Source organism: Homo sapiens, chromosome 1 (genome assembly GCF_000001405.40).
Source record: "Homo sapiens chromosome 1, GRCh38.p14 Primary Assembly".
Lineage (NCBI taxonomy): Eukaryota > Metazoa > Chordata > Mammalia > Primates > Hominidae > Homo > Homo sapiens.
In genome coordinates this window covers 229,525,796-229,551,685 of record NC_000001.11, presented here as the reverse complement: position 1 = coordinate 229,551,685, position 25,890 = coordinate 229,525,796, and the positions used below count along the sequence as shown (strand labels likewise).

Below are 25,890 nucleotides of genomic sequence, written 5' to 3'. Positions count from 1 at the left end.
GAAACAAGACCCCGGGCTTTACGTCAAAATGAAGTGACCCTTGCCCAGCTTCCTATTATTCAGTTAGATTGTGATTATGGGATTTTAAGCCAGGCATATGGACTTTATGAGCTGCCAGAATTCACATTTCTGCTTAGGCTATTGAAGAATTTTGATCTGATAGACGTTATTGCTTCCATTGCCAAAGTTCAATTTATTTGTTTGTTCATCCAACAAAATAGTGATTGAGATTCTCCTATGTGCCTGTCACTGTAGGCAATCAGTGACAAAGCAGACCAAAATCTTTTATGTCCTAATGGAGAGAGAAACTAAATAAACAAGTGAAACATTTAGAATGCTGAAAGGTAGGAGCTTCGAGAACACAAATGGAGAGGGAGTGAGGTGGGTAGTGTAGGGTGTCTGTATTTTAAGTGAGGCTGTCAGAGCAGGCCTTTTTGGGGAGGGGACTTTATAAAGACCTTAAGGAGGGGCAAGAGCAATTTTTCTAAATGTTCCCCACTTAAAAAGGCCCATGTTTTTCCTAGAACTCTGTTTGTCGACTAAATGTCCAGTTGGCACTGAGTTTGCTCTGGACTCTTTATTAAGGTTATATAACAGTAATACTTTTTGCTGGGTGCAGTGGCTCATGCCCACAATCCCAGCACTTTGCAAGGCTGAGATGGGAGGACTGCTTGAGGCCAGGAGTTTGATACCAGCCTGGGCAACATAGTGAGACCCCCATCACTATCTTTTAAAAAAATGCATTTGTCTTATTATGAATGCAGTTATCTGTGATATGTGTTGTTACTAATTGGATTTTCTTTTCTTTTCTTTTTTTTTTTTGAGACAGAGTCTTGCTCTGTCATCCAGGCTGGAGTGTAGCAGCACAATCTTGGCTCACTGCAACCTCCACCTCCTGGGTTCAAGCGATTCTCTTGCCTCAGCCTCCCAAGTAGCTAGGACTACAGGTGCGCACCAACACACCTGGCTAATTTTTTGTATTTTTTTTTTTTTTTAGTAGAGACAGGGTTTCACCATGTTGGCCATGGTAGTCTTGAACTCCTGAGCTGAAGTGACCTACCCGCCTTGGCCTCCCAAAGTGCTGGGATTACAGGCGTGAGCCACCATACCTGGCCTATTTATGTGGATTTTCTAAAATTTTTTTTTTTTTTTTTTTTTTTGGAGACAGCATATTGCTGTGTCACCCAGGCTGGAGTGCAGTGGCATAATCATGGCTCACTGCAGTCTCGACCTCCTGGGCTCAAGTAATCCTCCTACCTCAGGCTTCTGAGTAGCTGGGACTACAGGTGCATGCTACCACCCTGGCTAGTTTCTGTATTTTCTGTAGAGACAGGGTTTTGCCATGTTGTCTAGGCTGGTCTGGATCTCCTGGGCTCAAACAATCCACCCACCTCAGCCTCCTGAAGTGCTGGGATTACAGGCATGAGCCACTGTGCCAAGCCAATATTTTCTCTTCAGATAAGACTCTATCTTGTTTGCCTGTTTTTTAGGTGCATGAACAATCCTGTTCATATTTATTTTCATATCATGTTGATATTTCGCAAAGCAATAATACAATATTAAGAAGCAATATATCACATGTTTTATTGACATTTGCTTCTGTGTAATGATCCGTGAAACGGTTTTCCAAAAGTTATCTGGAATGGGTTGTTTGTTTGTTTAAAGCCTGCAGCACCTTGTATTCCCAGGCAGTCTCCCATCCAAGTACTAGTGAGGCCTCGCCCTGCGTAGCTTCTGAGGTCAGACAAGATTGGGTGCGTTCAGAGTGTATGGCCGTAGACAGAGTGTTTTGAGATACTAGATGTAATCAAGGGCTTTAACTAGACAGCTTGATCTTCAAGTTACAATATAGTTAGATGCCAAGGAGTATAGCATGTATAGCATGAATGGAGGAAAAATACAATCTGATGAACACCAAAATCAAGAGATGGGGAGGAAGGGGCTGGCCAGAACGGTTCCATAGTTGGCTCCCAGTTTTTCTTGGTGAGGAAGAGTTGATCAGACTAAGAAGTCATCTTCTCTGATTCAGATATGATCACTCACTTCCTTAGTCAACCTGCTTGTTCTCACCTGGAACCATTTGGTTCTTCCCTTGAGTCAGAGATCGAGGAGCAAAAGGGAGGAAACTGCTAGAGACTGAGATCAACGCATACTCTGACAACAGCTTATTTGGCAAGGAAGCCTCCTGGACTCAGCACCGCAGCCCCTTTGCTGAAGCAACCTGAACATTGAGAGTGCTTGTGTTTTCTAGCTGCGGTTGGATTTCTCACGATGTCCAGTGTTATCTCCATGTCTGCCCCTTTCTTCCTGGGGAAGATCATTGATGTCATCTATACCAACCCCACTGTGGACTACAGCGACAACCTGACCCGCCTCTGCCTAGGGCTCAGTGCCGTGTTTCTGTGTGGTGCTGCCGCCAATGCCATTCGTGTCTACCTCATGCAAACTTCAGGTAACAGTCTCTCCTCTCAGGGATGTGAGTCATCCTGAAGAAGATGTAGAGTCCTGTGGGTTTGTTCGGGCTCAAATCTCATGTGCTCCAGGCTCCATTCTCTTCCTCTCTTCCTGGCATCCCATTAAGTGGGGATAGAGTCCAATGACTGCCCAGATGTTGGAGTTACAGATTATTTTAGATCAAGCACTCTCAACTCTTCTTTTATAGTTGAAGTTGAGCTGTAAGGGCAATCATGTCGGTCTTATGGGAGGTTTGAAAATAAGCCCCTCGGGCTGGGTGCCGTGGCTCATGCCTGTAATCCCAGCACTTTGGGAGGCTGAGGCAGGTGGATCATGAGGTCAGGAGTTCGAGACCAGCCTGGCCAACATGGTGAAACCCCGTCTCTACTAGAAATACAAAAATTACCCGGGCGTGGTGGTGTGTGCCTGTAATCTCAGCTACTCAGGAGGCTGAGGCAGGAGAATCGCTTGAACCTGGGAGGCAGAGGTTGCAGTGAGCCCAGATCATACCACTGCACTCCAGCATGGGGGACAGAGCGAGACTCCATCTCAAAAAAAAAAAAAAGAAAAAAAAAGAAAATGAGGCCCCTGGCCATGAAGCTGGACTTCTGAGGCTTCCTGAAGGCTTCAGAAACCCATTTACATGCCCCATGCTTGTGTTTCTCCTTAAGTAGCAGCTGGGATGATAACTTTGTTAGTATTTCTCTGAAGAGGTCTTGTTTTTACAGGCAGGTCACTGCCACAATAATGAGAGAACCTGGGACACCAACTCGAAGTCTGTTGCTCTCCATTTATCTCTGTGGATAATTAACCAATTCTTGCCATTTGAAGGTTCAATACAGGAAAGGGTTTCCAGGGAGGAACAAAATGAGCTTTTGGAAGTTAATGTAATAAAACTTCTTTGTAAATAATACCTTAAAAAAATCTCGGCCAAGTGTGGTGGCTCATGCCTGTAATCCTAGCACTTTGGGAGGCTGAGGCAGGAGGATTGCTTGAGCCCATGAGTTTGAGACCAGCCTGAGCTACATAGCAAGACTCCGTCTATATAAAAAATAAAAATAAGTTAGCTGGGTGTAGTGGCGGACATCTGTAGTTTCAGCTACCCAGGAGGCTGAGGTGGGAGGATGGCTTGAGCCCACAAGGTTGAGGTTACAGTGAACTGTGATCGTGCCACTTCATTCAGGCCTGGGTGATAGAGCAAGACCCAGTCTCTTAAAAAAAAAAAAAAAGTAAAAATAAAAAAGGCCTCTGAGTCATGTTATATTTATTTTATTCCTGTATCCTCTCACTAGCGCCCACAGTCTGTAGTTAATAAGAGAAAAGTAGTGTTAGTAGTGCATGACAGTTAATGTGCCTGGTTTGGGAAAGTCTCTTTCCACCCATGGGATACAGTGCAGCAGACACGCTCAGAGGCTGCATTGCTCAGGAGGGTTACAACTCCAGGCCAAGCTGCTGCACAGTAAGTGGCTGCCCCATAATGGTAATGGATGTCTTTACCCTTGGTGAGCCTGTTCGTGTTTGCTTTTGCAGGTCAGCGCATTGTGAATAGGCTGAGAACTTCATTATTCTCCTCCATTCTGAGGCAGGAGGTTGCTTTCTTTGACAAGACTCGCACAGGAGAATTGATTAACCGCCTCTCATCAGACACTGCACTCCTGGGGCGCTCAGTGACTGAAAACCTCTCAGATGGGCTCAGGGCCGGGGCCCAGGCTTCCGTAGGCATCAGTATGATGGTATGTGGGCCTGGTTCCCCTTGGTACCTTCCTGCCAGGGCTTGGCTTGCACCAGGCCTCTCACGTGTGAGACGAGCTCAAGCTGAGCGGTTCGCATCATTCTGTAAGTGCCTAGAGCCAAAAGTGCTGTTGCAGAAGCTGCTGGAACGTGGGGATTGCCTCTGCCTGCATGGCCTCTTGTACCTTCATTTCTCCAGAATGAGTGATTATCTGGAAAATGGACTCATGTGTTACTGCTGGGTATTCTGAGATGTGTGTACCCGGGGTATTAAGGCAGAAAAGAGCATCAGGTAGAAGGAGCACTGGGTACTACCCTGTGGGTGGCACCAAGCGGTGACTAAATTCCATTCCTCTGTGTGTGTAAGTCGAACTGTGCTCTTTTAAGGGGAGAGCTCTTCACTCCCATGGCCTTTTTTCCTTTCCTTAACTGGGTGGCTTGTGCCTGTCCTGTCTGCTTGCCTTACCTCTTCAACCAGTATTTCTATTCAGCCCAGTGCTGCAGGTCATTGGAGAGGCAATGCAAGCCACATATGTGATTTTAATGTTTTAGTAGCCACATTTAAAAAAGCAAAAAGAAGCCAATGAGATTAATTTTTTTTTTAATTTTAATTTTTTTAGAGACAGTCTCACTCTGTTACCCAGGCTGGAGTACAGTGGCAAGATCATAGCTCACTGCAGTCTTAAACTCCTGGGCTCAAGTGATTCTCCCACCTCAGTCTCCCAAGTATCTGGGACTACAGGCACACACCACCAAGTCTGGCTAATTTAAAGAATATATATATATATTTTTTGTAGAGGCAGGGTCTCTCTATGTTGCCCAGGCTGGTCTCAAACTCTTGGCCTCAAGTGATCCTCCTGCCTCGGCCTCCTGAAGTGCTGGGATTACAGGCTTGAGCCACTGTACCTGGCTGAGATTAATTTTAATAATGTTTTGTTTAAGCCAGTATAAACAAAATATTGTCATCTCAAGATGTAATTAATATCAAAATTATTAATGAGGTATTTTATATTATTTCTTTCATATTATAGTTGACCCTTGAACAATGCAGGGGTTGGGACACTGAAGCCCACACAGTCAAAAATCAAAGTATAACTTTTGACTCCCTAAAAACTCAACTACTAATAGCCTACTGTTGACCAGAAGCCTTACTGATAACATTAACAGTCAATTACCATGTATTTGGTATATGTATTATATACTATGTTCTTATAACAGAGTAAGCTAGAAAAAAGAAATGGTATTAAGAAAATCATAAGGAAGGTAAAATATATTTATTATTTATTAAGTGGAAGTGGATCATCATAAAAGCTTTTTTTTTTTTTTTTTGAGACGGAGTATCGCACTGTCATCCGGGCTGAAGTGCAATGGCACGATCTTGGCTCACTGCAACCTCCTCCTCCCGGGTTCAAGTGATTCTCCTGCCTCAGCCTCCCGAGTAGCTGGGATTATAGGTGCCAGCCACCACGCCTCGCTAATTTTTTTGTATTTTTAGTAGAGATGGGGTTTCACTATGTTGGCCAGGCTGGTCTTGAACTCCTGACCTCGTGATCTGCCTGCCTCAGCCTCCCAAAGTGTTGGGATTGCTGGCGTGAGCCACTGCGCCCGGCTCATCACAAAAGTATTTATCCTCATTGTCTTCACACTGAGTAGACTGAGAGGAGGAAGAAAGGTTGTTCTTGCTGTCTCAGGGGTGGCAGAGATGGAAGAAAATCTATGTATAAGTTGACCCATGCATTTCAGACCAATGTTGTTCAAAGGTCAACTGAATTTCCAAATCTGGTGTGTATTCTCTACTTAAGGAACATCTTAATTCGGATGCTAAATTTTCATTGAAAGTACTTGATCTATATTTAGATTTTATAAAATGTACAATTGAAAAAGTAGTTTGACATACTCAAGTTTTCCAGACATACTTAATAGTTTGCCAATAACTGAATGGAGTATAGGCTTTTAAATTTTAATTAAACCTAAATACAATTAAAAAGTCAATGTCTCAGTCATACCTGCCACATTTCAAGTTTCCAGTAGGGCTATCGTTTTGGGCAGTGCAGTTCTAGACTCGTGGAATAAGAACTGTAAATAATCCTTTCTCACAAGTGGAAAAGCTTGGATTCTGTCCTTTGTGTCCCATGAAGCACTTAGAGAGGAAGGGTGTGTTGCCTATTAGATCTGACTTACGGAATGAAAAACAGCTTTGAAATCTCATGATTTTCCAGCTAAGAGAGAAGCAAACCTCTGGAAGAGGACCCTTCCTGCACTAACATGCCGTTTTCCAAATATGAATAGTTTTGGGGATCAGGAAGAGTTCAAGCTGGGAAAAATCACTTGGGGTACTTTTTGTAACAAGGAAAGGGAATTCAGTGTAGGTCAGATGAGCAATTCAAAGGGGTCTGTTTGGGATGCCATAATAATACCACAGACTGGGTGGCTGAAACAACAGAAATGTATTTCTCACAATTCTGGAGGTTAGAAGTCCAGGGTCAAGGTGCTAGCAAAATAGTTTCATTCTGAGGCCTTTTCTTGTGGCTTGGCTGAAACAACAGAAATGTATTTCTCACAATTCTGGAGGTTAGAAGTCCAGGGTCAAGGTGCTAGCAAAATAGCTTCATTCTGAGGCCTTTTCTCTTGGCTGGTAGGCAGCTGCCATCTTGCCATGTGCTCACATAGTGGAGAGAGAGTGTGCTCTAGTGTCTCTTATAAGGACACTAATCCTATTGGATCATGGCCCCACACTTAACGACCTCATTTAACCTTAGTTACTTTCTTAGAGGCCCCATCTCCAAATACAGCCATGGTGGGGATTAAGGCTTCAACATGTGAATTTCAGGGGGAATTTCCATTCAGTCTGTAAAAGGGCCTCAGGAAGTGGCTTCACCTAGGATCTGATCTTTGGCTCTAGGGGATCAGAAATGTGACTTTGTTTCTCCTGCACAAACTCATGGACCTGACATAGGGGAAGTCCAGTTATGAGAACCTGATATTGTGTATGGCATACTGCCAATTTATTAATTTACATAGTGGGCCTACCCACCATTAAGTTGTGTTTCTGCTATTCCTTTTTTTTTTTTTTTTTTTTTTTTTGAGAGAAGGTCTCACCCTGTTGCCTAGGCTGTAGTGCAGTGGTGTCATCTTGGCTCACTGCAACCTCTGCCTCCCGAGCTCGAGTGATCCTCCCACGTCAGCCTCCTGAGTAGCTGGAACCACAGGCGTGCGCCACCATGCCCGGCTAATTTTTGTATTTTTTATAGAGACAGTGTCTCACCATGTTGCCCAGCCCACTGGTTTTGAACTCCTGGGCTCAAGCGATCCGCCTGCCTCAGCCTCCCGAAATGCTAGGATTACAGACGTGAGCCACTATGCCTAGCCCATTTCTGCTATTCAAAACACTTCATTATGGTGCCAGCACCCTGTATTAGTCATCAGAAGGTTTTTCATTAAGTGTGGAACCAGAGTGAAGGGAGGGGGGTGGTTCTGGACAGTTCTAGGAGAATCTTGATGGACTGTGCCTGCCCTACACAGAGGACACCTGTCCAGTTGGTTCATTTTGACATCAGTTGTGTTCAGGCCCCAGAAGTGTTAGACCTGCCCTGTTGGTCTCATGTCCTGATGGTGACCATCAGAGATATGATTATGTTCCCCAAGACTCACCCCAGGTGTCCTGATGGACTTGTCTTCTCAGGGTGGGACATTCCTATGCACATCTGCTTGCTCCTCTGTGAAGGTGCCAACCTCCTTTCTGCCTCAGGGCCTTTATGCAATGGCTCTTCCCTCTTGGGGGAGAGGTCTTCCAAGATTGTGTTACATCTGCAGTGATACTTTCTCTTTCTTTTACTTGTTTATTATCTAAGTCTCACCTCTTCTTTCTTGCATGAAAACTCTGTGAGGGTTGGTTATCTCCCAGGTGCCTGGAATAGTGCTTGCACTCAGTAACGTGGGCTCTCAGTAATAACTTGTTGAATGAGTAAATGAATGAGTGAATGATTGGTTGATCCATCCACTTATGTTTCAGTTTGCAGTTTTTCCTTAGTATTATTTAGCCGTGTACTGATTATACTATTTTCTGTGCAAATGAGATATGGTAGATTTTAGTAATTTGTCGAAGAGATGCCAGTACTATTGAAAGTACAATCACCAAATTGCAATGTTGACAGGAAAACCCTCTGTTACTTACTTCCAGAAGTTAGGTTATTCTTTCAGCAATTCCAATTGCTAGAAGCTCCTCAGTATATTGAGCCCAGATCCATCCTGCTGACTTCAGTCCACTGAGCCATAAAAGCAGCTCTAATTCTTCTTCGACTTGTTAGTTGTGTCCTCCAAGTCCTCTGTTGACTGTTATGCAATGTGCTGTTTTTTTTTTTTTTTTTTTTGAGATGGAGTTTTGCTCTTGTTGCCCAGGCGGAGTGCAGTGGCTCAATCTTGGCTCACTGCAACCTCCACCTCCCGGGTTCAAGCGATTCTCCTTCCTCAGCCTCCCGAGTAGCTGGGATTACAGGCACGTGCCCCAACACCCAGCTAATTTTTGTATTTTTAGTAGAGATGGGGTTTCACCACGTTGGTCAGGCTGGTCTCGAACTCCTGACCTCAGGTGATCTGCCCGCCTCGGCCTCCCAAAGTACTGAGATTACAGGCGTGAGCCACCACACCCCACCCGATAATGGGGTTTTTTGGTGACTTCACCATCTTGGTCATTTTGATGGGACGTGTTGCTGTGGTTGTTCAGTGCCTGCAGGTGGTTCAGACCTGAATATACAACTCCTGAGGTGGACTGGAGCGTGGAGCAGAATGGGCCTCTGCCAAACCCCCATCCTGTCTCTTCCCACTCTGTTGTTAAACCGCGTGGTCTGATCTAGTATTGGCCTGAGGATTCTTTCTTCAGCAATTTCTTGTCACATTTCTTCTATGTGGCATGCTGAATATTTATGGGGTTTTGTGAAGAATAAAGATGTCTGAAAAATTCCATCAAAACAGGATGTAACAACTTGGGGACAGTACCTTCAAGCCTGCTGTTAATTTAAACACACACACACACAGACACACCCACACACACACTCCCCTTTCGTAGGTAATGAGAATGTCTTGCCACCCAATGTAACAAACACCTCTGAATTTTTTTTTGTTTTTGACAGTTTTTTGTCTCACCTAATCTGGCCACCTTTGTTTTGAGCGTGGTGCCTCCAGTGTCAATCATTGCTGTAATTTATGGGCGATATCTACGGAAACTGACCAAAGTCACTCAGGATTCCCTGGCACAAGCCACTCAGGTAAAGGCCCCTTCCTGTCCGCGTGGTTTCCAGCAGAATGGGGTCATAGCCAGGATCCTAGAGGGCAGATCCTAAGGGATGTACTTAGGTTTTTCAATGAAGTGCCTGCCTTTCCTTTCATTAGAAATTACCCCAAGATCCATGAAACTTAAACTACTCTGTTTTCTAGACTAGATTTCTACCCATATCTCAAAGTAGATCTAACTTCACTAAACATTTTATGGAGTCCTCACTTGTTACTATCACTATTTCTTTTCTTTCTTTTTTTTTTTGTTTTTTTTTTTTGAGACAAGGTACATGAGAAAAGTTTTTTCATGCACTCTAGGCTGGAGCGCAGTGGTACAATCACAGCTTAGTGAAGCTTTAACCTCCCAGGCTCGAGTGATCTCCCACCTCAGCCTCCTTAGTAGCTGGGACTATCGCCCCATGCCACCATGCCCACTAATTTTTAAAATTTTTTGTAGAGACATGATCTTACTGTGTTGCCCAGGCTGGTTTCAAATTCCTGGGCTCAAGTAATCCTCCCACCTTGGCGTCCCGGAGTGCTGGGATTACAGGCATGAACCACCATACCTAGCCACTATCACTATTTGTTATAGGACAAAACAGTTAATCAGGTTTTGAAAATAGTTACTAGATAAGTGTTTCATTAATTTAATAAATCTAGCTTTGCAGTGCTGTGCAACGTTATCTTTTCAAAAATTAAAAATGGCCAGGTGCGGTGGCTCATGCCTATAATCCCAGCACATTGGGAGGCCAAGGCAGGTGGATCACCTGAGGTCAGGAGTTTGAGACCAGCCTGGCCAACATGGTGAAACCTTGTTTCTACTAAAAATAGAAAAATTAGCTGGGCGTGCTGGTTTGTGCCTGTAATCCCAGCTACTTGAGAGGCCGAGACAGGAGAATCGCTTGAACCTGGGAGGTGGAGGTTGCAGTAAGCCGAGATTGCGCCATTGCACTCCAGCCTGGGTGACAAGAGTGAAACTCCGCTCCAGAAAAAAAAGAAAAATAAAAAATAACCATTATACTTGCATGTTACAAAAACCATGCATGTTTATTGTTGAAAAATTTGAAAATATAAAGAGAGAAAACAAAAACACGCATAATCCTGTCTTTTCGAATTAACATTATTAACATTTTGGAGTCTGTCTTTTTCTCTGCATAAAAATGCATTTCTGCATCTACATATACTCCTGTTTTTCTGCCTCTATGTTTTTCTGATATGTTTAGGTATAGATTTTTTTCCCCCACAACTAGGATTGTTTTGTATACTCTGCTTTGTCACTCTTTTTTGACTTAGTCATGTATCAAGAGTGGCTTTCCATTGATAGTGTCTTTTGTGGAGTTCTCACTTCTTACTATCACTATTTCTTTTCTTTTCTTTCTAATGAATAACAAAATGAGAACCACATTTTATTTTTCCTTCTTAGAAGCTCTTGAAATATGACCCTTCTCCTCCTGAAATGTATTTATTATTCTCCCAGCTAGCTGAGGAACGTATTGGAAATGTAAGAACTGTTCGAGCTTTTGGGAAAGAAATGACTGAAATCGAGAAATATGCCAGCAAAGTGGACCATGTAATGCAGTTAGCAAGGAAAGAGGCATTCGCCCGGGCTGGTTTCTTTGGAGCAGTAAGTAGATCACTTTGGAAAAAGTAAAATTGGCAAATGTTAGAATGGTGAGAGTTTTATTCTGTGGTGCTCAGCATAAGTAGAAAATAATTTTAATTTTTAAAATTTTAGTCTTAATTTCAAGGCCAAGAATGACTTTCTTTAAAATATTTTTGTGAAAAAGGAAGAAACAAGTAAATGTCCTTAGAGAAAAGTCAGTGCATGGTGTGATCGGGCACTGATTCTTTGTGCGGTGCAGGCCAGCGGCATCAGCTTTGCCTGAGCACTGGTCTGCCTCACCAAGACTCAGCTCCACCCCAGGTCTGCTGGGTAGGAAACTGGGGCCAGCAATCTGTTTAACAGGCCTTCCAGGTCATTCTGATGCCAGCAAAGTCTAAGGATTAACCAAAATCACCTCAGTGTGTTTCAAGAAACAAGTACAAAAAATCAATCACAATGCACTCAAATAGGACACTGAAATAGAAAATCACCATGAGGGCAAATTCCAGATATGTGTAAACTGAAAAGAACTTCAGAGGCAATTCCGTCATTGCTATGATTAACAGATAAGGAGCAGTGGCCCGGAGAAGGCCTCCCCTATACCTAAGACAACCACACACGTAACCATGGTAAAAGCAGGCCATACATACAGGAGTCCAGCTCCTCAGGCTGGTGTCCTTGCCCAGAACATCTGATTATATTATATAAACCTATACAGTAGATATTTATTTGTTTCCTCTAGTTAGGGAAGGAACCTTTAATATTACTTTTATCTTTTGCAAACTGAGTAGATGGGATAAAATCAGGATCTGATGGGAGACTTAGCTTATAGGTTTTCATGGTGATGAGATTGTTTTCTTCATTATTGCAATATTACAAAACCATTTTTAATTTGAAACTCAGGTGAAATTAATATTTTGGAAAAATCTTGCTGTGACAGTTGAATGAAAAAGGGACATTACAGGCCGTGTTCATGCTTTTCACATTCTGGGTCCTTGATTCCCACCTGACTTCTGTGTTTTCTTCATTCGACAGACTGGGCTCTCCGGAAACCTGATCGTGCTTTCTGTCCTGTACAAAGGAGGGCTGCTGATGGGCAGTGCCCACATGACCGTGGGTGAACTCTCTTCCTTCCTAATGTATGCTTTCTGGGTTGGAATAAGCATTGGAGGTAAATAATTTAAATAGGCTTGGGGTGTTACAAATTAAAAATCAGAGCATCATTTCTGAAAGAGAAACTGAACTTTCACATTACTTCAATTAACTTCCACTGAAAAAGCATTTCCTAGAATGTTATTATTCCAACTGGGCTTTTAAAGAAGTAAAATGAGTGTGACCCTCCCCAGCAGGTGAGCAAACAGCTCCTTGGTTGGGAAGTTTGGGGATCTTTGCAGGCCTCTTATAGCTCAGCATCGCTCTGGAGTGGTTATTTCCCAGCCTGTGTCTTCAGACCATTTGTTCACTTGCTCACAGGTGCAGGCAGGAGGAGGGCGGCGCTGAGCAAGTGTGGACACAGAAACCCATAGTCCTGTGTTAGTCATGGTTTCGTGATTGGCAAATCAGTGGAGAATAAAATTCCTTTTGCACAAAGTCGACCATATTCAAAATTAATGAGCAATCAAAAAATATTTATAAATTATCAAGTGTATGAAACAGAGTTGCCTGCTTTTATTAAGAATCTGTGAGAGTTCAGCTTTTATTTTTCATTCCCGGATAAAGGAAAACAGGAATGCATCCCCAGTCAACTTGGGACAAATGATTTCCTGGTTTTTGTTTCCCTTCTTGTCTTTGAAAATCAAGATGGAAAGGTCAGGTAAGTAGCTTAAGGTCTGATTAATGGAACATTATCAGGTATCCTATGGTGTTGCCTCAACCAGAGAGTTTTATTTTCAGGGTTTTGTATCTGTCTAATTGTTGAAGGTAGAGGCATTTCCGTAGACATCTGCAGGCAAGTGAGGATTTTTTTCTGGAATGAGATTTTCAGAGACCCCTGAAAAAAGCATTTTAGTTCTGCTGGCTGGTCTTAAATAAAAACTGATTTTAAGATGTTTTGGGGTGCTGGCTGGTTTGGGAAACGAGAAGGTGGACCGGTTCAGGAGGACCCACAGACAGTATGTAGCTCTTCCCTCTCCGTTTCCTGGATTGAGCCTGCTGGGCTGGAGGTTTCACACCCTGTTGTGGTCCTGTTCCCCTAGGTCTTCTGTCCTCCTTCAAGTGGACTACCTACCCTACTTCCCCTCTCCCTGGCCTTTCTGTTCACGTTCCAGGTTTCCTCCCTGGCCTCCCCTCATCTTAATGTTTTCTGCCATGCTAGACATGATCTTTCTCAGCCCCTCCTCTTCCCTCCTCTGAATCATTTGGCATGATAGACGTTATTTCTGTTTGTGGTTGTTCTATTGCCCTCTCTGTTCACAACGGACAAATTCACAACTGTGCCTTCCACAGAATGGGTTGGAAAACACAGTTCTAATCCATTGCTATAGTCAGTTACCACCACTGGTTATGGGAGGTGCTGCTAAGGCTTTGTCTGCGTGCAGAGATTGGGTAATTTGGCTTTCTTAACCACAGGCTAGCCCACAACTCTGGTCAACTGTCTTGTTCAGGATCTGCCATCTGGTGCGAGGAGGGATAAGAGAAAATATGGGTAGGTCAGTGTACATCTGTTGCCACCAGTTCTTCCACATTTATAACATAGATGCCTAAGGTGATAGGAATTTAATCCAACAACTTGAATTAGCAGGTGAGAATTCTACCACTGAACCACCAATGCCCAACAACTTAAATTAGATTTTAAGTGCTTTTATGTTTGTTTGTTTGTTTGTTTGTTTATTTATTTGGAGATGGAGTCTTGCTCTGTCGCCCAAGCTGGAGTGTGGTGGCATGATGTCGGCTCACTGCAACCCCCGCCTCCCGGGTTGAAGCAGTTCTCCTGCCTCAGCCTTCCAAGTAGCTGGGACTACAGGCACGTGCTGCCACACCTGGCTAATTTTTTGGATTTTTTTAATAGAGACGGGGTTTCACCATGTTGCCCAGGCTAGTCTTGAACTCCTGAGCTCAGGCAATCCGCCCGCCTCAGCCTCCCAAATTGCTAGGATTACAGGTGTGAGCCACTGCACCCAGCCATGCTTTTATGTTTTTAAAGTAATTTTATACTTTTATAGAATCGCTGTCTAAAATGATTCTATAATCTACAAAGCAAGAAATTCTATTTTATTTATTAAATAAGAATTTTTATTTTGGTTTCTGCCTAGAAAGACATACTAGGGGTAAAAACCCCAATGATTCTAAGTACATTCTCTGCTAAGATGAAGTCAGAAGTACTGTATGAAGAAAAGCAAAACCTAACCATTTTCAAGTTTACAATTCAGTGGTGTTTAGTACATTCATAATGCTGTGCAACCACTACCTCCATCTAGTTCCCAAACCATTTCATCACCTAAAAGAAAACCAATATTCATTAAGCAGTCTATCTACTTTACTTCCTCCTGCCAGCTCCTGGCAACCAAAGTTTGCTTTCTGTCTCTATGTATTTACCTATTGTAGCTATTTCATATAAAAGGAATCATACAATATATGTCCTCCTGTGCCTGGCTTCTTACACTTAGCATAATATTTTCAAAGTTCATCTATATTGTAGCAGGTATCAGTACTTCATTCCTTTTTTTTTTTTTCTTTTCTTTTTTCCTGAGACAGGGGCTTGCTCTGTCACCCAGGCTGGAGTGCAGTAGGGCAGCCTTGACCTCCTGGGCTCAAGCAGTCCTCTCACCTCAGCCCCCTGAGTAGCTGAGACTTACAGGCATGCGCCACCATGCCTGGCTAGTTTTTGTAGTTTTTGTAGAGACAGAGTTTCGACATGTTTCCCAGGCTGGTCTTGAACTTCTGGGCTCAAGCAATCTGCCTGCCTCTGCTTCCCAGAGTGCTGGGATGACAGGCATGAGCCACCGCAACTGGGCTAGTATGTCATTCCTTTTTATGGTTGAATAATATTTCATTATAGCGAGAGATTGCATTTTATTTTTCCAGGGCCATTGTGCTTTTGTTGTTCAGAGTCAAAGCTCTTAACTATGTTAAACTACTTTTGACTCTTTACCTTTACTTCTTTTTTGTTTTGTTTTGTTTTAGAGACAGGGTCTTACTCTGTCTCCAGGCAGGAGTGCAGTAGCACAATCCTAGCTCACTGCAGCCTCGACCTCCTGGGCTCAAGTGATCCTTCCGCCTCAGCCTCCTGAGTAGCTAGGACTGCAGGCATACACAACCATATTCAGGTAATTATTTTTATTTTTTGGAGAGACAGGGTCTTGCTATGTTGTGTTGCCCAGGCTGGTCTCAAACTCCTGGGCTCAAGTGATCCTCCTGCCTCGGCCTCCCAAAGTGCTGGGATTATAGGTGTGCACCACCATGCCCAGCCTTACTTTTTTTTTCTTCTTTCTTTTTTCCCTCACTCCCTTCTTTTTAAAAATTAATACCATTTTCAAAGTAGTTTTACGTTCATAGCAAAATTGTGTGGAGATAGGGGTGTATACCCCTGCCCCCATACATGCACAGCCTCCCTATTAACATCCCCCGCAGAGTGGTACATTTGATGCAATTAATGAACCTACAGCTGGGCGCAGTGGCTCACTCCTGTAATCCCAGCACTTTGCGAGGCTGAGGCGGGCAGATCACTTGAGACCAGGAGTTCGAGACCAGCCTGGCCAACATGGCAAAACCCTGTCTCTACTAAAAATACAAAAATTAGCTGGGTGTGCTGGTTCATGCCCGTAATCCCAGCTACTCGGGAGACTGAGACAGGAGAATTGCTTGAACCTGGGAGGTGGAGGTTGCAGCGAGCTGGGATTGTGCCACTGCACTCCAGCCTGGGTGACAGAGTGAGACTCTGTCTCAAAAAAAAAAAAAAGAGCCTACATTGACACAGCATTACACCCAAAGTCCACAGTTTACATTAGGGTTCACTCTTGGTGTTGTACATTCTATGGGTTTGGACAAATGCAAAATGACATGTATCCAACATTCCTGTATCATACAGAGTAGTTTTACTGCCTCAAAGATCCTCTGAGCTCTGCTTATTCATCACCCTTCTGCAACCTACTGTTTCCATGGTTATGCCTTTTCTAGAATGTCATATATTTGTAATCTTGCAGTATGTAGCATTTGATTGGCTCTTTTCACAGAAATATGCATTTAAGGTTTCTCCATGTCTTTTTATGGCTTGATAGCTCATTTATTTTTAGCACTGAATAATATTCCATTGTGTGGATGTACAACAGTTTATTCATTCACCTACTAAAGGGCACTTGGCTGCTTCTAAGTTTTGGCAATGATGAATAAAGCTGCTATAAACATCCATGTGTAGGTTTTTGTGTAGATAGGAGTTTTCAGCTCATTTAGGTAAATACCAAGGAGTATAACCGCTTGATTGGATGGTAAGAATATGTTTAGCTTAGCACAGTGGCAGTATCATAGGCAGTGAGGTTTATCCGAGGCGTGATTATTGCCAATTGAAAACTTTTCTCGATACCCTTCTGTGATGACTTGCAATGTAGTCAGCATTGGCAAGGTTTTTTTTTTTTTTTTTTTTTTTTTTTTTTAAAGGGAGTCTCATTCTGTTGCCCAGGCTGGAGTGCAGTGGCATCATCTCAGCTCACTGCAACCTCCACCTCCCGGGCTCAAGCAATTCTTGTGCCTCAGCCTCCCAAAGAGCTGGGATTACAGGCATCCGCCACCATGCTTGGCCTTTTTTTTTTTTTTTTTTTTTGAGATGGAGTCTTGCTCTGTCACCCAGGCTGGAGTGCAGTGGCGCGGTCTTGGCTCACTGCAACCTCCACCCCCCCAGGTTCAAGCGATTCTCCAGCCTCAGCCTCCCGAGTAGCTGGGACTACGGGTGCGTGCCACTGCGTCCAGCTATTTTTTTTGTATTTTTAGTAGAGACGGGGTTTCACCATGTTGGCCAGGCTGATCTTGAACTCCTGACCTCAGGTGATCCACCTGCCTCGGCCTCCCAAAGTCCTGGGATTACAGGCATGAGCCATCCACGCCTGGCCTAATTTTTGTATTTTTTTTTTTAGTAGAGACAGGGTTTCACCCTGTTGGCCAGGCTGGTCTTGAACTCCTGGCCTCAAGTGATCTGCCCACCTTGGCCTCCCAAAGTGCTGGGATTACAGGTGTGAGCCACCGCACCCGGCCAGCATTGGCAATTTTTGACATCTCTATGGTGACCGAATGAATTTTTTTCTTACAAAAAAAATTTTAGTTTTGTAAGAAACTCCCAAACTGCCTTCCAAAATGTGTGTCCCATTTGCATCCCCACTAGCAAGGAATGAGAGTTCTTGTTGCTCCACATCCACCCCAGCATTTAGTGGCGTCAGTGTTCTAGCTTTTAGCCATTCTGATAGATGCATGGTATTTCATTGTTGTTTTAGTTGGCATTTCCCTGATGACATATGATGTTGAGCGTCTGTTCATATGCTTATTTGCTCTCTGTATATTTTCTCTGGTGAGTTGTCTGTTCAGGACTTTTGACCATTTTTAAGTAAGTCTTCATGTTTCCGTATTGTTGAGTTTTAAGAGTTCTTCGTATATTTTGGGTAGCAATCCTTTATTGGATAGGTCTTTTACAGATATTTTCTTCCAGTTTGTGGCTGGTCCTCTTCTTTTCACATTGTCTTTTGCAAAGCATACATTTTTAATTTTAATGAAGTCCAGCTTCTTTCTTTCATGGATTGTACCTTTGGTATTGTATCTAAAAAGTCATCACCAAATTCAAGGTCATCTACACTTGCTCCTAGGTTGCCTTCTAGGAGTTTATTGTTTTGTGTTTTACATTAGGTCTGTAATTCACTCTACATTAGTTTTTGGGAAAGGTGTAAGGTCTGTGTCTAGATTCCTTCTTTGCATGTGGATATTCAGTTGTTCTAGAACCATTTGTTAAAAAGATAATATGTATATTGCCGTTGCATCTCCATTGTATTGCGTTTGCTTCTGTGTCAAAAATCAGTTGACTGTTTATGGGGGTCTATTTTTGCCAAATGCATTTTTAATTCAGCCTAAAAATTTTAGTCCATTGTATCTTGCATAAATATTCATACTGTAGAATATTTGAATTGTATTTTTTCAGCATCCTCACTGAGGGAAAATGTTACAAATGTATGTCCTCACATTTGATGTAGACCATTGCATTTGGGGTTTAAGTTGTTAAATGGTTCAGGCTAGGCATGGTGGCTTACACCTATAATCCCAGCACTTTGGGAGGCTGAGGTGGGTACATCACTTGAGGTTGGGAGTTGGAGACCAGCCTGGCCAACATGGTGAAACCCCATCTCTACTAAAAATACAAAGATTAGCCAGGCATGGTGGGGGGCACCTGTAATCCCAGCTACTCGGGAGGCTGAGGCAGGGAGAATTGCTTGAACCTGGGAGGCAGAGGTTCAGTGATAGATACTACACCACAGCAGAGCAAGACTCCGTCTCAAAAAAAAATAATAATAATGGTTCAAAGCTGACTTTAAAAAGGGATGGCTAGAGACCAGGGACGGTGACACACACTTGTAATTCCAGCACTTTGGGAGGCCAAGGCAGGAGGATTGCTTGAGCCCAGGAGTTTAAGACCAGTCTAGGGAACATAGTGAGACCCTGTCTCCACAAAAAAATAAAAATAAAGAGATTGCTGGAATGTTTAACATTAACCAAATTTATTTCAGTTTTTACTACTGTGAAAGTTTTGTTGTTGTTGTTTTTTGTTTTGAGACAGGGTCTCGCTCTGTTGCTCTGAGTGCTGCCAGAGTGCAGTGGTGCAGTAATACCTCATTGCAGCCTTAACCTCTTGGACTCAAGCAATCCTCCTGCCTCAGCCTCCCAAGTAATTAGGAATATAGGCACATGCTACCAGGCCTGGCCTTACAGTTATTTTTTGTAGAAACAGGGTTCTCTCTATGTTGCCCAGGCTGATGTTGAACTCCTGGGCTCTAGCAATCCTCCCACCTTGGCCTCCCAAAGTGTTGAGATTACAGCCATGAACCATTTTGCCTGGCCCTTTTTTTTTTTTTAAACATAGCATTACATTGTATGAGGTATTATAAGTAATCTAGAGATTACTTGAAGTATATGGGAGTATGTGAGTAGCGTATCAAAGTTGTATTTATTGAGTGGCTGAAGGTGAGGTATTATTTTGTGGATTTGTCTTTAAAATCAACATTGAAGTATTTTATATTTTTTTAAATTATGAGATAGCATTACATTTCAGTTAAATTACAATGCTTTTAACTAGGTAGATTTCCTCTGCGGCATTATGATTTTAATCCAGTGGTTGATGAGTATGACTATATATGTTTTTCAATCCCTGATCAAACATTAAGTCCTTATTAGAAATCAGTGAAATGTGGCCAGGTGCAGTGGCCCATGCCTATAATCCCACACTTTGGGAGGCTGAGGCGGGTGGATCACCTAAGGTCAGGAGTTTGAGAGCAGCCTTGCCAACATGCGAAACCCCATCTCTACTAAAAATAAAAAAATTAGCCAGGCCTGGTGGCTTGCGCCTGTAATCCCAGCTACTCGGGAGGCTAAGGCAGGAGAATCACTTGAACTGGGGAGATGGAGATTGCAGTGAGCTGAGATTGTGCCAGTGCACTCCAGCCTGGGTGACAGAGTGATGATCTGTCTCAAAAAAAAAAAAAAAAAAAAAAACTATGAAACTGGAGGAGGAGAAGCCAAAGGAAAACTAGAGTATGAGACAAGCAATTCTGAGTATCAGTTCCCAGGAAGCTGCCTCAAGTTGTTTTTTGAAAATATTAATAACAGATTTTATATTAAAAGCAATCATTGTCACTCCTCTCAGAGGAGTGGTGGCCAGTGCCAGTGCCAGTGATGGACATGTGTGTGGATTCTGCTTCTCATCCTCAGGTCTGAGCTCTTTCTACTCGGAGCTGATGAAAGGACTGGGTGCAGGGGGGCGCCTCTGGGAGCTCCTGGAGAGAGAGCCCAAGCTGCCTTTTAACGGTGGGTCTGAAAATTGTTTCTTTGCTAGGATTAACAAATGTGGCTTTGAACAATGAGACCAGCTCTTCCCCTGTCTGCAAGGGAGTGAGGGATGAGCCACAGTAAGGATGTGGCTCCTGCTGCATGGCGGGCCGGGTGAGGAGGTGGTCAGGTTTTCTATGAGAGGGGGTGGGACAGCTGCTGGGGCACTGTTGTGGGCCAGGGTGTCCCTGGATGCATGGGCTGGCCACATAGTGTGCTGCCCTCTGTTCCCCTCCCTCCATCTGGGTGTTACCGCAAAGGGCAGGATGGAAGTCAGTGTGGCCCAGGGCTGTGTCCCAGCTAGTTTACCAAATTGATCTTCCCTAGTGATTCTGACATCTCTGTGGAGGGCTAGGGTGGGAATAAGGGAGGAGGAATCAGACATAAGAAAATATCTAAGTTTCTTGGCATTTTGGTGTGGGGTAGGGGAGGCTGGTACTCATTGGCTGGAGCCATCTCCTTCCTTATCAGTGACTTCCCTGGAGCTGTAGGGCCTAAACCAACTAGCCAGGAATCAGGAGAAATGGCTATGAGTAGTAACCACTCCCAGCTGCTTATTGACTTCCTAGGACATTGTCAGGTAGCCCCAGGTCCATAAATGAAAGCCCAATATTCTCCAATGTGATAGGCCTAGGAAATAGGTCCAGCTGAGAGAGTTTCAGTAGTGTCTCCCAAAGCACAGTAGGTGAACACCAGGGCAGAACAGACCTCTGACCCCTCCAGTTCTGCGGCTGCTGTGCAGCGCTCCCCGTTTCATCATAACTCTTCCAAAATATTTATTCCGGGTAGGTAAGATAAACTCTGGAGCTACACAGAGGCAGTGGCATAGAGAGAAGGCCATCGGATTTGAAACCAGACTAACAAGGGTGGATCTTAACTCCACTACTTGTTAGCTTAAGCAGGTTGTTGTCTGTGGTCTTCAATGTCCTCATCAGCAAAATTGGAATTATAATTTCTACCTCTCAGGGTTGTAAGGATCAAGTAAGACCGTCTACGTATATAGTACCTTGGACATAGTAGGTGCAGAGTTGGCACGTGGTAAGCATTTAGCCTAGGTTTGCTTCTGACTTGCCCTTTAAGAGCTCATATACCAGGATTAGCTGTGGTGGAGTCACCCATCCATAGCCAGATGAGTAGGAGAACCGAGTTCAGCTTTTGAGTTTAATTTTTTGCTGTAAGTAATTAATATTCCATTTTATGTTTCAGAGGGGGTCATCTTAAATGAGAAAAGCTTCCAGGGTGCTTTGGAGTTTAAGAACGTGCATTTTGCCTATCCAGCTCGCCCAGAGGTGCCCATATTTCAGGATTTCAGCCTTTCCATTCCGTCAGGATCTGTCACGGCACTGGTTGGCCCAAGTGGTTCTGGCAAATCAACAGTGCTTTCACTCCTGCTGAGGTTGTACGACCCTGCTTCTGGTAAGCAGTTCACCACACTGTAGCACCGAGGGACTCTCCCGAGCTCTGCTCCCACTTTTGCGCCCTAGGAGATGCTCAAACCATGCAAATACCTTATTTTGTAGAGTACCTTCTTTTCTAAGTGCCAGTGGAAAGAAATCCCTCAAACAGAAGGTGTCATTTGCAGGGGCATGACAGCTCATACAGAGGCCTTTAGAGCTTTTTGTGTGTAATGTGTCCTACCTCTTCAAGCCCAGAGTGACTTCCCCAGATCTACCTCCTCATCTCCCATGCGGGTATCTCCTCTGGACATGCCCTCTACTGGGAGCAGGTGGACGAGGCTGTGCTCAGCAGCCAGGACAGAGTGCCTGGGGTGCTCCAGCAGCACCCTGGAGAACCACCGTGTGCCAGTGCGCGTGCTGGGCGCAGGAGTGATAGGGAGCTCCTGGAGAACCTCTGCCTCTGCCTGTGAGCCATTGAATGCTTATTGTGCACACAGTTAACTTGGCCATCAGTGATTCACTTCTTTTTTTTTTTTTTTTTTTTTTTTTTGAGACAGTCTTGCTCTGTCGCCCAGGCTGGAGTGCAGTGGCGCGATCTCAGCTCACTGCAAGCTCTGCCTCCTGGGTTCCCGCCATTCTCCTGCCTCAGCCTCCCGAGTAGCTGGGACTACAGGTGCCTGCCACCACGCCCAGCTAATTTTTTGTATTTTTAATAGAGTTGGGGTTTCACCGTGTTAGCCAGGATGGTCTCGATCTCCTGACCTCGTGATCCACCCGCCTTGGCCTCCCAAAGTGCTGGGATTACAGGTGTGAGCCACCGTGCCTGGCCAGTGATTAACTTCTATGTGACTGTTCCATTGAAACTATTTTGACCTAGTAGGGATTTTCTTTTTTTTTTTTTTTTTTTTTTTTTTTTTTTTTTGAGACGGAGTCTTGCTCTGTTGCCCAGGCTGGAGTGCAGTGGCACGATCTCAGCTCACTGCTGCAAGCTCCGCCTCCCGGGTTCACGCCATTCTCCTGCCTCAGCCTCCCGAGTAGCTGGGACCACAGGCGCCTGCCACCATGCCCGGCTAATTTTTTTTGTATTTTTAGTAGAGATGGGGTTTCACCGTGTTAGCCAGGATGGTCTCGATCTCCTGACCTCGTGATCCACCCTCCTCAGTCCCCCAGAGTGCTGGGATTACAGGCGTGAGCCACCGCGCCCAGCCGGGATTTTCTTAATGGATGATTTTTCTCATTCTAGTTTTTATTTTATTTTTAACTGGATTATAACATCTTTAAGAGCAAAGAGCACATGATTTTACTTCTATCTTCCCTGTAGTAGACAACAATGTCAGCAAGCAAACAACTCTTAGTAAAAATCAAATCATGAATTTAGAAAGAATATTTTGGCCAGATGTGGAGCCCCACACCTGTAATTGCAACACTTTGGGAGGCTGAGGTGGGAGGATCACTTGAGGCCACAAGTTGGAGACCAGCCCGGGTAACATAGTGAGACCCTGTCACTATTTATTAAAAAAAAAAAATTCTGTAATTTAAAAAATGAATGTTTTGTGTCTTTGTGCTTATGCTTTTTGGTTAAAACAATGTGAGAGCTGGTTACATGTCAGATAAATATGTGACTTGCAAATCCTGACCCATGGAATCACCACCTGTGTTAAAATGGGGCTTACTACATTGTTTGTCTCTGGAATCACTTTCTTGATTCACCATTCACTTGCTATAAAATTTGGAGTTTAAAAAAATCCTAGTTAGCTGGGCACAGTAGTTCACACCTGTAATCTCAGCTCTTAGGGAGGCAGAGGTGGGAGGATAGCTTGAGCCCGGGAGTTTGAGACCTGCTTGGGCAATATAGTGAGACCTTGTTCTCCATAAAAAGGAAAAAAAAAAAAGACCAAAAAAAATCCTATTTAGGTTGCTGTAATTCAAGTAAAAATACTGAGTCTCTAGTTTCTTCATCACAATGAATAAATCCAGGACAAAGCAAACTGCAGTTAAATGTCTGCCATGTGTAGTCTATAAAGAGCTTTGTGCTTTTTCGTCAAAGACCTCAAGTTTTTGCCAGTTTGTGAACATTTCCAGCTGGCTTCTATAATTCCACAACATTAACTGAGAAGAAATGGCATTTCTTATGCTGTCACTGTTGTCATCATCACCAAGTTTTGTTGAGCACCCTCAATGTGAAGAATTCTGTTAGCAAAAGTCATAAAGATAGCGTCTGATTATTTAAAAGCTCTGCCATGGTATCGACCAGATTCTTAGTTGCAGACAACAGATTCCTCACCAACTAAGCTTATTACAGAAAGGGATATTTTAAGGAGTAATAAAAGAGCTCAAAAATCACTGGCAGGAATGACAAAATAGATTCTAGATTGTACTTCCAGGACAGTTTGCAGAACTCCACCCCAGAACCAGGCCTTCAAGGTAGCTGCTGACACTGGCATGGTCAGGAAGCTACAAATTTAGGCAGTTGCTGTCATGAATGCCAGCTTCAGAGCTGTGCCACCTCTGCCAGTATTCGTGCCAGCAAGTGGATGCCTCATGGCTTGCCCCTCCCTTCTGAATTAAAGCTTTGCACAAGTGCATCTTATCGGTGGAATCCTAAGTCACTAGGGAGTTTTGGGAAAACTCCCTACAACCTCCGGAGTACAGGAAGGCAAGCTGGACAGATGGACTCGGTGAGATAGTCATCCAGCTACTATCGGGAGACAATAACTTGGACAATCCAGAAAGTCCCTTTTAGCTCTGAAATTTCATGAAATATGTTAGTTTTAGAGTCCATCTGGAGATTTTCAGTACATTTTGATCTTTAAAAAATGAGTCTGGAATTTTCCCACCGGATCCTTTCTGTGTTGGTCATCAGCCTCATCACACTCAGTGACTCTTTCCTTTCCTTTCCTCTCAACAAGGAACTATTAGTCTTGATGGCCATGACATCCGTCAGCTAAACCCAGTGTGGCTGAGATCCAAAATTGGGACAGTGAGTCAGGTAAGAAGAGAGGCTTCCATTTCTATTTCACTTTCTTTTAAAATTACTTTTGTCTTTTGCTTTTTTTTTTTTTTGTCTCGAACTTCTCAAGAGAGAAGGAATGGAAGTCTTTGGGATGTATTAAGCTCATCTCACATGGCAGGTTGTTTAGGTTTGCAAGTAGCGCTGTTTCCTGAAAACCCTAAATGTTTGAGCAAGGGTGAAGCATTGACTTTTTATTGAAAGCTGGAGACTACCATTACTAGATAGTCTAGAGGATGGGGAGGAAATGATAGAAGATTTTATTGACTCTTTTTTAGCTTTTACTGATTCTTCCCCACTTCCCATTTTCATCACCAGCCACAGTCTACTATTCTGCATAATGAGTTTCAGGGAAAAGTGAGCAAAGACTATGGCAAGAGCCAGAGTCCTCCTTGCAAAGAAGTTGCAGATTTCAAAGCAGAGTGTTAATGTAATGTGGTCACTTTGATAAGGCCATTTTCACAAGACCCTTTGGGGCAGGGAAATGTTGCTGCAGCTGTTTTAATTTTTATTACCAGGCTGTGCACACAGCATACAAACCTGAGCCTCCCCCCATTTCTGAACCTCTCTTTGTGATTAGCTCATCCTCTCCCCACTCCACTTGGGTGAGGGCAGGTGGATGGTGATGGGTGCTCAGGAGTGTAGGGACATCAGTGGTGTATATGATTAGGGATGGAGAAAAGAGCCTGGAAGTTTGCTTATTTTTTAGGACTACTCCATAGGGTTCTGTCAGAATTGTTTGTTCCCATGTGGTTTGTGTGTATTTCAAAAAGTAATGGATGGAGATGGATTCCCCGCTTTGTCCTGAGTGGAAGGCAGGCAGCTGGAAAATGCAGGTGGACTTGGGGTCTCCTGGTGCCTCCTGATTCCTAAGGCAGGGGACTGACATTTACAAAGTTCCTACCATGTGCCAGGTGCCTTGCGGGCACCTGCTGTGAGGTCTCATTGCTTGCAGCATGGTGAGAACTACAGATGATAAAATCCTGTTCATGGCAAAACATAAATTTTAAAAAAGACTGCTAGGTCTAAATTTATTAGACATGTTTTAAGTCTGTTTGAAATTCGTGATATGTTTTATTTCCAATTTGTAGGAACCCATTTTGTTTTCTTGCTCTATTGCTGAGAACATTGCTTATGGTGCTGATGACCCTTCCTCTGTGACCGCTGAGGAAATCCAGAGAGTGGCTGAAGTGGCCAATGCAGTGGCCTTCATCCGGAATTTCCCCCAAGGGTTCAACACTGTGGTTGGAGAAAAGGGTGTTCTCCTCTCAGGTGCATTTCTTTACTGCTTTGTAGCAAAGTCTCTATATCCAAAGAACTTTTCACATGTTTCTTGTTTTTTTTGTTTGTTTGTTTTGTTTTTGAGACGGAGTCTTGAGTCTTGCTCTGTCACCCAGGCTGGAGTGCAGTGG

General features: G+C 43.7%; 1 protein-coding gene and 2 pseudogenes across 5 annotated transcripts in view; 2 read left to right on the top strand and 1 right to left on the bottom strand.

Moving 5' to 3' along the window:
• The window catches only part of ABCB10 (ATP binding cassette subfamily B member 10), a 42,126-nt gene that overhangs the window by 7,022 nt on the left and 9,214 nt on the right, over positions 1–25,890 (top strand). For 2 of the 5 annotated variants that reach the window (NM_012089.3, XM_011544135.4), the window contains exons 2-10: positions 2,252–2,452; positions 3,985–4,187; positions 9,315–9,449; positions 10,934–11,080; positions 12,095–12,230; positions 19,955–20,050; positions 21,278–21,487; positions 24,378–24,457; positions 25,570–25,750. In NM_012089.3, coding sequence (NP_036221.2) covers positions 2,252–2,452; positions 3,985–4,187; positions 9,315–9,449; positions 10,934–11,080; positions 12,095–12,230; positions 19,955–20,050; positions 21,278–21,487; positions 24,378–24,457; positions 25,570–25,750 — 1,389 coding nt within the window. Of the gene's footprint in view, positions 1–2,101; positions 2,453–3,984; positions 4,188–9,314; positions 9,450–10,933; positions 11,081–12,094; positions 12,231–12,778; positions 12,873–19,954; positions 20,051–21,277; positions 21,488–24,377; positions 24,458–25,569; positions 25,751–25,890 lie in introns of those variants that run through there. The other 3 variants (XM_047416589.1, XM_047416590.1, XM_011544136.2) reach the window with 3 other exon arrangements.
• Positions 1,664–1,781, bottom strand: RNA5SP78 (RNA, 5S ribosomal pseudogene 78; annotated as a pseudogene).
• RNU4-21P (RNA, U4 small nuclear 21, pseudogene) lies at positions 16,497–16,622 on the top strand (annotated as a pseudogene).